At 47.3% G+C, this 10,547-nt stretch overlaps 1 long non-coding RNA gene across 1 annotated transcript in view, besides 4 other annotated features; it reads right to left on the bottom strand.

Moving 5' to 3' along the window:
* Positions 10-911: an enhancer, noted in NCBI's record as "H3K27ac-H3K4me1 hESC enhancer chr6:108486269-108487170 (GRCh37/hg19 assembly coordinates)". NCBI's record gives its function as "activates a minimal SCP1, AML or CMV promoter by ChIP-STARR-seq in primed H9 embryonic stem cells {active_cell/tissue: H9 hESC(primed)}" and the evidence as "EXISTENCE:reporter gene assay evidence [ECO:0000049][PMID:30033119]".
* Positions 1,813-2,714: an enhancer, noted in NCBI's record as "H3K4me1 hESC enhancer chr6:108484466-108485367 (GRCh37/hg19 assembly coordinates)". NCBI's record gives its function as "activates a minimal SCP1, AML or CMV promoter by ChIP-STARR-seq in primed H9 embryonic stem cells {active_cell/tissue: H9 hESC(primed)}" and the evidence as "EXISTENCE:reporter gene assay evidence [ECO:0000049][PMID:30033119]".
* Positions 5,640-6,141: an enhancer, noted in NCBI's record as "NANOG hESC enhancer chr6:108481039-108481540 (GRCh37/hg19 assembly coordinates)". NCBI's record gives its function as "activates a minimal SCP1, AML or CMV promoter by ChIP-STARR-seq in primed H9 embryonic stem cells {active_cell/tissue: H9 hESC(primed)}" and the evidence as "EXISTENCE:reporter gene assay evidence [ECO:0000049][PMID:30033119]".
* OSTM1-AS1 (OSTM1 antisense RNA 1) overlaps positions 6,581-10,547 on the bottom strand; it is a 35,763-nt gene continuing 31,796 nt past the window's right edge. The window contains exon 2 of the long non-coding RNA NR_145458.1: positions 6,581-9,774. This is a non-coding gene — a long non-coding RNA (OSTM1 antisense RNA 1). The remainder of the gene's footprint in view (positions 9,775-10,547) is intronic.
* Positions 7,241-8,139: an enhancer, noted in NCBI's record as "OCT4-NANOG-H3K27ac-H3K4me1 hESC enhancer chr6:108479041-108479939 (GRCh37/hg19 assembly coordinates)". NCBI's record gives its function as "activates a minimal SCP1, AML or CMV promoter by ChIP-STARR-seq in primed H9 embryonic stem cells {active_cell/tissue: H9 hESC(primed)}" and the evidence as "EXISTENCE:reporter gene assay evidence [ECO:0000049][PMID:30033119]".

The raw sequence follows: 10,547 nt of genomic DNA, 5'->3' as shown, positions 1-10,547 counted from the left end.
TCTGACGTCAGCCATGTGCGGGGAGGGGATGGGAAGAGGGAGGGGGTTAAATGCTAATGATATTAATGAACCTCCAAGCGGCTCCCAAAGAAAATGCAGGCGCTGTCGGAGCTTACGAGTTAGAAAGTGTGAATATGGGAGTGTGGCTCTGTGCGTGCGTGATGGTGAGGACGGTGCGGCTCGTAATAAAAATGAATTCGTATATTTCACGGCAAGAAGGAAGGGGAGGGGTGACGGGGCTTTCTCAAAACGCTTTTCCCCCTCTCTCCAGAGTGCCAGATAGATTCGCGGAAGAAATTGGGTGGCTGTGTGCTGGCGTGTGATTGTGCGCGCCGGACATGGCCATGTGAGTTGGTTCATTCTTGGTCCGGTGCCCCTTCTGTTGGGTAAAACTTGGATCTGGCCCGAGGTGAGTAATTTACTCATTTTGCACATATCTACGGAAAGTCAGGGCTGAGGATGGGGTCTTCTGGAGGTTCCGCGTTCCTTCGGCCTTCGCGCAGTGGGTTTGGGCACCAGCCGAGGGGAGGATGCCGCCAGCTTCCCCAAGCAGAGCTGGCCCATCCGACGCTGAGCGAATCTCTTGTCGCCTCCATTATCTGCACCGGGGCGGCTGGAGGGCAGAGCGTTCCCTCCCGCCGCTCGTCCTCGGCGGGCGTTGCGGGCTCCCGCTCTCCGGGCGGAGGAATAGTGAAGAGAGGCCCTCATCCCCTACCCCCTCCCCATTCCGCTTGCCTTCCCGCGATTCCTGAGCTCTCTCGCGCCTTGCTCTGTGCGCGGCGCTGGGAGAGCGCATGCCGAGGGAGCGATGATCCCCGATCTCTAAGAGATTAATTCTATTTAAGCTCTCTCGGCAGCTTGAACTTGTCGAACAAGAGCTTGCCAGTCCCTCCTCAGGGCGTGGACCCGGCCAGAGGTCAGAGGTTACACCTCCCGCCCTCCGCTCGACGTTCGCGGGGAGGGGAGCTGTGGCCGGCGCTCTGCAATTCCGCCAGCCCACCCCCCGGTCCCTCTTTCTCCAGACTCGGTGTCATCCCGGGCTTTCAATCAGAGTTCGCCTGTGCGTGCAAGTGAATGCTGGAGTCCCCCGAGCCCTGGGAGGGCGCAGCAGGTCCTCCGCCTGGGCGTCCCAGGGGGAGCGGGCTGTGCGCTCCAGTGGGCTCCGACAGCACGTGATTGCAACTTTCTGCCCAGCCTTGGCTCGGCCTCGAGCTCGGGGTCTCGCACACCACACACACCAGAGCCTGTGTCCTCCTTAGTGGGGCGCCGCGACCAAGGCTGGGGTCCCGGGGAAAGAGCAAGATGGGGGGATCTTTATCTCTCAGTTTATTCCCTCCTCCTCGGTTTTTCGAATTGGGACGAGATTGGGGGATTGTGGGACGAGGCCATAAGCGCGTAGGGGTTTATTAGGTGACAGGAGGAGAAATCAGCGTTTTTTGACAGCCAACTTGTACAGCCGCTTGTGGAGCTAGCCCGACCGGCGGCGTAGCGCTTTCTCGAACTCGGCGCCCAGAGAGGGGAGGAATTTCGGGCAGGATTTGAGAAACACAATAAGATGCCAGGCTCCGTTTGGAATCCTCAGGTTCTGGTTCACGCCAGAAATCCACTTGCTTCAGCCACCTACCACCACCACCCCCATAACGCGGACGCGATTATGGGGTTCTTTGGTTCAGGACAAAGAACTTCAAGGGTGGAACTAATTTATCTGGGGCGAAGATGAGGGCAGTGTGGGGGGTGATGACTAGACCCAGGCCTGTCTGCAGGGGAAGCATTTAGGGGTCTGTTTCGAGAAGGAGAACTACTAATTGCTTTGCCTGTGCGGGGGCTGGACGATGGCTTTCCTGGGCTCCAAACCACCTCTTCCCCTACTCTCGAACGCTCCTGCCAGGCTGGCTCATTTGTAGGCACCAAAACTTCTGGAAAATACTCCCAAGGCTCATCAAATTGTCTCAAAATCAAAATGGGTATCTTCCCTCTTTTTCCTGTCACCAGTCCCCGATCAAGCATGGTGTCAAGAAGATGCCTACGGAATACACACACACCCCATTCAGCCCTGGCGAAAGGCACAACACTGCGCGCACACACCCGCAGCATATGCATCCTGTGTTCTGTGCGCCCGGCTGTAATTATCGGCGCGCTTTGCATAAATCACAATACAGTTCTGAAATCATCGTGATGACTTTCTGGCATGACTGGTTCAGTGGTAACGGCGGCAACAAGCTCCAGGGTAGGCGGGAGGGGCTGAGGCCCCGTCGCCCACCAGGTCCCAAATAAGCCTGGAGCCTTAGTGCGGGCTGCCTTCTACTCAGGCAAAGCTGCTGCAGGCCACGGGGGACCTCGGATTTAAGGCGTAGAAACTTGGGGCTACCATGGGTACAGCTCAGAGAAGAAAGCCTTTGCAGGACAAAGACTATGGCTCTTCATCTTTCTATCCACAGGCCCCAGCATGCTGCCTGATTCATAGTAGGTGCTGCATAAATGTTGGGCAAATGAAGGGAAGTCACCTGCAGATGCCCTGAGGGGCCACTGGAGGCACAGCCAGGCTAAACGCTGGAAACCACGAGATAGGGATTCAGGGCTGTGCCAACAAGCTGTGTGACCTTAGGCGAGTGGCTAGACCTCTCTGGGTTCCAGATTGTTATTTGTAAAAGGATTCTCACCCTGTTCGGTCTTAACTTTCAAAGATTTTTTCCTGTGAGTCCATTAAAGGAAATGATTGATAAGGGGCAAATGCCATCTGGCTCAGAATTATCTTTTAACAGAGACAAGACCTTAAGTTACAAGGATAAGTTTATTGCTTTGGAAGGTGGTGGGGATAGCCACACCCTCAGAGGTTCTGAAACCCTTCTAAACAGGTTCAGACATAGCCCCTAATTTCCTCTGTAGGCGCTTGTGAGTATGGAGCTCTCAACCAAAACCAAAGCCTAAAACGCAGGGAAGGTTCTTTTATCGAAGGATGTTTACATTTTGGTCCAAGAGATAGGAAATAAGATCATGAGAGGACCATGGATCAAGGGGTATTTCTGCCCATCCATCAATCTACCCACTCATCAAATACTGAGCACCCACTATATGCCAGACCCTGGGGATATAGCAGATTAATGACATGACTCCTTTCTCCATGTAGCAGGGAGCAGACACATAAAAGATGATAAATGTTTTAGATTGGGATGAAACACAGGACACTGGAGATATATACAAGGAGCCCTAAACCAGTGTGCGGTGACATAGGCTGTCCAGAATTGCCCTGGAAAGCTGGCCTTGTGTTAGGAGAATCTACTGATTCTACAGTCCTCTGAGGACTGTATTGTATTATAGCTCATTCCTCTGCTAGTGCCCTGTTAAAGAGAATCCTATTAACTAGGTTGTATGAGAGAGGCAGGGGTACAGAGCACCCCTCAAAGTTTCAGACTATCTGAGGTTGACTGCTAGCCCTGCCATTCACTAGCTTCTCTAAAAACGGTGACATTTTTTCCATTAACACCCCCTCCACACACACACATTCTTCTAAATTAAAATACCGAAGGTGAAAGGACAAGCTTTCCCATCAGCTAGCAGAGCTGATGGAATTGGTGTTAAAGAGACCCCTTCCCCAATCCCCTGTGATCGACCCCTCACAGAGGCCATTCAACCTCTAGAGAGTCACTCCTTTAAAATACCATTCCCCTTACCGATATGCAGAGTTAAGAGATGCTCAGACCAAGGAAATCGCTGGGAAAACCTACCAGCTGAGCTTGGCTGAGTTTTGATGTTTAGTATCCAAAAACATTCTGACACAAGTTTTTGTTTGTTTGTTTGTTTGTTTGTTTATATGAAGGAGGAAGTTGATTTGCATTTGCTTCCACATCATAATTCAACCTATGGCTGTTGTTTGCCCAGTGGATGGTGAGAGAGGAGGTGGGTCATGGAGCAGTGTCTGGCACATAGTAGGTGCTTGCTAAGTGCCAAATGAAAGAAACAGTGTTTGCAGGCTTGCTCTTGATTCTGCTGTGGATCTCTCTACAAGTTGTTTGATTCTTATCCAAATTTACCCCCCAAATAAACAAGAACAATCCAGAAAAGAGACGCTTGTTCTCTAGAATCCAGTGGGTCCTGAGTTGCAGGGTTTTTCTTGACACTTTTGAGCACTGTATTGCCAAAAGTAGTCTGTTACTCCCCACAAGTAGGAAGATGAACGCTGCTAACAACAAGGAGACAATGCTCTGTGTGACCACCCCCCTCACCCCACAACCTTAACAAATAACAAGTCATGTCTTTGCATTTATTCACACCCTTGGTTGGACAAAAATTCAGTTCTAAAGTCAGGCTGAGACTCCGAGGCTTCTAGAGTCCCGCTGCATCTTGACATTCTCTGGCTCCAAGAATAATCAAGTAGAAACATCTTTCTAGTCCCTTGCACCCTGGCACATAGTGGTGCTTTGTAAATGTGGAATGTATGAGTGAACCTGCCTGATGATACTCAATGAAAGCTACTGAAGCTTGAGGTGAAGGGCTCATTTTTGCTCAGCCCCAGCAATGGGGTAGGAAGGGAACAGGGACAGGTCCTCTGAATCTCCAAACCTTGGGAAGCAGTGCAGGTCATTTTTGGCTTTCTGAAAACAAAAGAATGACTAGAGAAACAAGAAAGCAGAACACAGACTACATCCAGGGAGATACTGGCTGCCAAGCTTTCTTCAGCCTCCTAATTTCCTGTGAATTACACAGTCTAACTTGGCTTCCATTTAGCGTGGAATCACAGAGCACATAAGTTACAAGGCACTCCTCTAATGTAGTCATTTTATAGATGAGGAAAGTGAGAACCTTAGAGACAACTTGTCCTTGCTTACTCACTGAGAGACAGAGATCATCCCCAGAACCCATATCTCCTGATGCTGAGTCCAGTGCTCTTTGAAATACTCATTCCACTGCATTCTACTGCATCCAGCTACCTCTCATTTCCCAGAAGGGCTTCTAGAAGCTCCAATTAAAGCAATTTCACTTACTTACTAGTGAAGTAATTAGAATTAAGAACAGTGTTTTGTGCATCTTGAAACTATAGTTCAGTATTTGTGCAACGTCAGCCTCCTTTACTTCACAGGGTTTTTTTCTAAATTCCCTTTCTGCCAGTACTTAAAATTTGCTGTGTTCCAAGGTATAGGAAACCTGTGAGGTGTCCTCTCTGTTTTATAGAAGGGATGATATGACCTACAGGAGCAATACTTAGAGACACAAATCATAGATGCTGAGAAAAAGGCAATGATTAGATTGACCAATTAATCGCTGAATTTGATCTGCCTGGATTGCCAATCTAGGCCTTTCAGATTTTAAAAACGTCCCTGTCTTCCCTTCACAGCAGCTTTAGGACCTACTTTATCCAGATTACTGTTTCAACACTTGTAGAAACAATTGTTATGTAAAACCAGGTACTCCAGTTTGAATGTGGCCAATATATTTCAGAATAAGCTACAATTCTTTATTATGTGGATGAGTATATCAGGACCACATATTTGATCTCTGCCAATGAAGTGAAAAGCATCATACATTCTACTATGCTTTGTTTCCAACAGATCTAGTTCACACAGTACTCTGTTGTCCTATTCTAGTAAGTAATTTCAGAATTCACATCACTTACAAAGATGCCGAGTGGCTATTTAGGGAACTCTGATTCAAAAAAAAAAAAAAAAAACCCTCCAAAACAAAACAAACCTCCCTCTCTCTTCTCCCTCCCCCAAACCCCACGTGCTTTGTGCAAGACGGAGTCAACCAGTGGGATTCACAGGAGGTCCCCAAGTCAAATGCTGCAGCTGCGTTTTAAAAAAGGGTTGGATAAACTACAGCCGTTAATAACATCTGTATCTATGCAAGCTAAGATGATGATAGGGGTAATCAGATCTCATGCTTCAGGGCATAAGATGATTGCCTGCTGGGAGGAGGAGGATTTGGCCTTTCAGGTACAGGAGTTCACAACTGAGGAGGTAGGTTGCAGACATTTCTCCTTAGCCTCTAAAATTTCAGGTGTAACTGTTGGGATAGGTGAAACAGTGATTTGAAATCTAACATTTCTATCAGATCAGGACATTAAATAATGAGATATTTGAAACACCAACATGCACTACATACAACATATGTGTATCTATCTAGGATATAAGTATTTTGATACCTTTTTGGAAGGCTGACATTGTTTGATATATTTTGACCATCTTTTAGTGCCAAGTGGATACTTGTTAAGTACTAAATAACAATGAAAACAGTGGAGGTAATTTGATTTTAGTCCATGCATTAATAGTTAGTTACAATGTGTAATTACCCAAGTATTCATAATTGTACATATCTGTATCCCTAAATATATGTATTTCCAGCTGCAGTAGCTAAATAATCATTGGAATTGCATATTTGGAGTGTACAGAAATGCATTCATTTTAATCTTTGGATCACCAAGTAATTTTTAAAATGTAATATTTATCTGGAAGAGTGAGAAAGCAATTTTGCAAAATAATCTTACCCTCTCTTGATTTCTTTAATATTTTCAAACCCCAAGAAAGGTACACTTTAGTACAGTTGCACAACTTAATCAATTTTGAAAACACTAGTGCAAGTGTGAGCAGGGTTAAATAATTCCATTTATTTAGACATGTAAACCATACTGAAGGTCATACAGTAGCAGACAGCTTCTACATTTCAGAGAGTAAAAATGTAGCCCATTTCTAGCAGAGTGGTTAGAGTTCTTTTGGCATGAAAGACATTCTTACTACTTACTGGCTTCATCGCTATTGCTAAACCATTCACTTCAGTTCCACACAGAGGGACTGCTCTGGAGAATATGGCTGTTAAATGCAATTTTTAAAATGATGCACAAACAGTTTTTAAAGGGGGAAAAATCCTGCAGCTGTTTGGCTGCAGACAGACATGGGAAATTAGTCAGAAGCCCAAAGCATCATAGTTAATAACCATTATTCTGTTGTCTGGGATGTTTGTTTAAATACTATTGACACTGTGTATGTATTGTCATCTTTTCTAAATTGTAGCTCTTAACCACTGAAATCTTGCTAAAGACCACCTAGGGTTTCCTCTGTATGATGCTGAAGTGTGTATTCACCTGATGGATAAACAAAAAACAGATTTTTTTTTTTTTGCTTCAATTTTTCTCTCATGTGCAACTAGTAGGAAATTTTCTGGACTAAAGGGAGAGATTGCTTAAGTACAGTAGAATTAGACGCTGTGGATTCCCAACCTTTGTATTTCTCATCTAGTGATAGAAGATGAACAAACCCATCAACTGATTAATACAATTCAGTTCTGCTTAAAATTCACAGATCTGTTTGGTATGAGACTGTATTTTAAAAGACTCCTACATGCCATTAAGTGTGAAGAAATCAGTAACTATTCTTTTCATCCACAGCATGTTGAGTCCCCCCCCACCCCATTTAAATTTTGCTTATTAAGTGAGGTCATTTGGGAGAAGAGTGGCTCTGGTGGGTGGGGAAAAGAAAATCTAACAGCTCAACTCCCAAGTTGAGCGCTCCAGATCATGGGCCATTCAGTACAAAGCGTTTTATATCTTGACTTATGAGGGGACAATAGCTGGTCTTACAAAGGCACCACCTGTGATTTAGCACGGTTGACATCTTTGTTAAGGAGGAGCCGGAGGGCAGTGGCGAAACAGCACGTGCACGATCCGGACCGCATTACGGCGACCGACCGACCTTCAAGACCGTTTCTCGCCGTCGCGGAGGCCTGGCCAGGTTTTCTGGCTTACAGTTTTTGGAAAGGGTGTGGGGAGAGAGAAAGGAAATGAGCGTCGTACACGCTGGTGGAGCCAAAGCTCTTGGACTTACGGCTTGCCAGCGCCCAGCTGCTCCATTTTACAGATGGGTAAAACGGAGGTCAGGTCCGCGGAGTGTCTGGCTCAGCAGGTGCAGTGGTCTGGACCCCCGCGGGGCTTCGGGACTGCAGGGCCGGGGGCGCGGGGGGGCGGCGCGGCCGCGGGTGGGACGCAGAGTCCCTGTTTTGGGCCCAACCTTCGGGCCGGTGGCTTTTTGCTTCCTTCCCGAAGGTCGCTTCTGACAAATCTATCTATTTGGGGCAAATTGTCAGTGAGAAACTTCCGCTCGAACTGCCCTGGACAAAACCGGCTGTTTGAAAAGGGTAAATCCCGCGGCCCGGCGAGGCCGAACAATGGGCCGCTGGTGCGGCTGCGGCGGGGGCGGCCGGGCGGGCCGCACAAAGGGCGGATTAATTGGGGCCGCGGCTGAGCGGTTCGCGCTAGCTCCACTCAGCCCGCGCCGCGGGGCGCCCCATTGACTGGGCCCCGAGCCCCACTTTTCACAAACTCCAAACAAAAGTCAATTTCTTTTTTATAAGGCGGGGGAGGGGGCCGCGGCCAAGATTCCCCACTTGTTCCTGCGACTCGCTCTTGCCGCATGGGGGGCTTCGGGGGCTCAAGGAACTGGAGGCAGAAGGGCCCTCGGGGATGCCCGAGAGGGGAAAGAGATGCGGGTGTGGCTGCCGCGTCCCTGTCCCCTCCTCCGCTGCCCCGCTCCGACGCGTGTCGCACCCTCTGGGCCGCACCTACAGGCAGGGGCTGAGATCCCAGCCCGAGGCCTGGAAGCCGCGAAGAAGCGGGATGAGGTGGTGGCCGGACCGAGGTGAAGGCTGGGGCACCCGGCTGGGGGAAGCGCAGGCAGGTGATTTGGGAGGAAAGAACACGTCCCTTTGATATTCTAAATCCTGGGAAGGGTGGCCATGCATTAGATAGTTATTGAGAAACTACTGTGTTCCCGATGGCGAATTTGCCTTCAATGGACAGACAAGTGGGTGGGGGGCAGATTTATAAGTCAATCAGTCAGCAGGTGAGGGACCGCGGTCAGTATGGGGCGCTAAAGGAAGTCACCATCCCTCTGTAAAATGATGAGATGGACTTGCCGGTGTAACATGTAGAAGATATCTAATTATAGACACAGACTTTGTACTTGGAGAAGTGGCGGTGATTAGAAAACAAACAAATAAATCCAAATTGTAGGACTAACATTGTCACTGGTCTATACACCCCGTAGGAAGGAACCAGGAGTTCGTCTCCTCTTGTTTCTCTTCTCTCAAAATAGGAGAATGACTGCAGAGGGCTCTTCAGCTGACACTGAGAGGAGCAGGAAATTCCTTTAACAATACAAATCGATACACTCCCTAGCCCACAAGCCTCTGCTGGAAACCGGATTGGCGGTGGTTGTACAAGACACTCCAGGCCTTGTCATTTCAAGGACTGTCTTCCAAAGTGAATGAACAGGAAAGAGAGACCATGTGCTGGTGTAAGGGAATTCATGTGTTGGCTGGAGCCATGTGCTAATGGATGATATTCCAAGACTTTATCCAAGGTGTTTCTTTGGGGAAGGAAGGAGGCTTGGATCTGTGGGCACTTGTGTGCTCTACAGCTGGCAAAGTGACTTTATGAGACTGTTGAAGTCTTTAATAGCCAGGCTTTATTGTGGAGTCCCTCCAGCGGCATCTGGCTAGTATACTGGCACCCCTCTGGGCAGGCTCAGTGAGAGGGGAGCTCTGATGCCAGGTAATGAATCTGTGGCAAGCTCAGTAAATGAGGTGAAGCAAATCCTCAAGGACAGGCTGAAACAGGGCTGGAGGCAGAGACCTAGGCGTTGACAGTGGGGAGGTAACAGCGGCCAGCGGACCTGCTGGCAGAATCCAACCTGGGCTCCTTTTCAACCACATTTTAAAGCTGTAGATTTAAAACGATCTTCTCCGGGCCAAGCTGTGAACACTTCCAGATTTCTGTTGAATCAGAGGCTGTGAAAATCAAGGGCAAATATTTATCTAAAGATGTCACAACTTTGAATTTCAATAATAACTTATCTGCTAATCTCTGATGGAAATCTAGAACAGCTGTTGCTCTATTGTGTATTTTGAATTCCCAAAAGACCAATTTGGGAATTGACATTTTTTTCCTCCACCAAATCTCAGTATGCTTTCTTTTAATTTACTGATGCCTTTGCAAGTTCAAATCAAATAAATGACAGGAATGGTAGCTCATTATGAAAGTTATTAAAGCCTGCCAAAAAATTGTATAGTTTTTACCTTTATTGGCAAGTGTGGCAATGCTGAGCATGTCCATGCCAGAAGTTGAGTGAGGGTGTAAAGGCTGGGATACTGAATTATTAGAAAGAAAAAAGAAAATATGAGTCAGACTGATGAAACTTCCAAATTAATGTGTAGATTTAGACAGAGTTAACAACAGGCTCTACTGTCTATTAATAGAGTTTATGACCACACCTTCTAAGAACATTCAGCACAGTTGCTTCTTATTTCTGTTTTACAGATGAAGGTCTTCAGAGAGGGGGACACTGGGTGATTTTGGAAAGGTCTACCCATGAAAGGTGTGAGTGACATACTGGTATCAAGCCTTTCTGTCACTCACTCTGGTTGATATTCAAGGCCTTGAATTACTCTTATTTATTTATTTATTTATTTATTTATTTATTTATTTATTTATTTATTTTTGAGACAGAGTCTTGCTCTGTCGCCCAGGCTGGAGTGTAGTGAAACGATCTTGGCTAACTGCA

Source organism: Homo sapiens, chromosome 6 (genome assembly GCF_000001405.40).
Source record: "Homo sapiens chromosome 6, GRCh38.p14 Primary Assembly".
NCBI lineage: Eukaryota > Metazoa > Chordata > Mammalia > Primates > Hominidae > Homo > Homo sapiens.
This window is presented reverse-complemented; position numbering and strand designations above follow the sequence as displayed.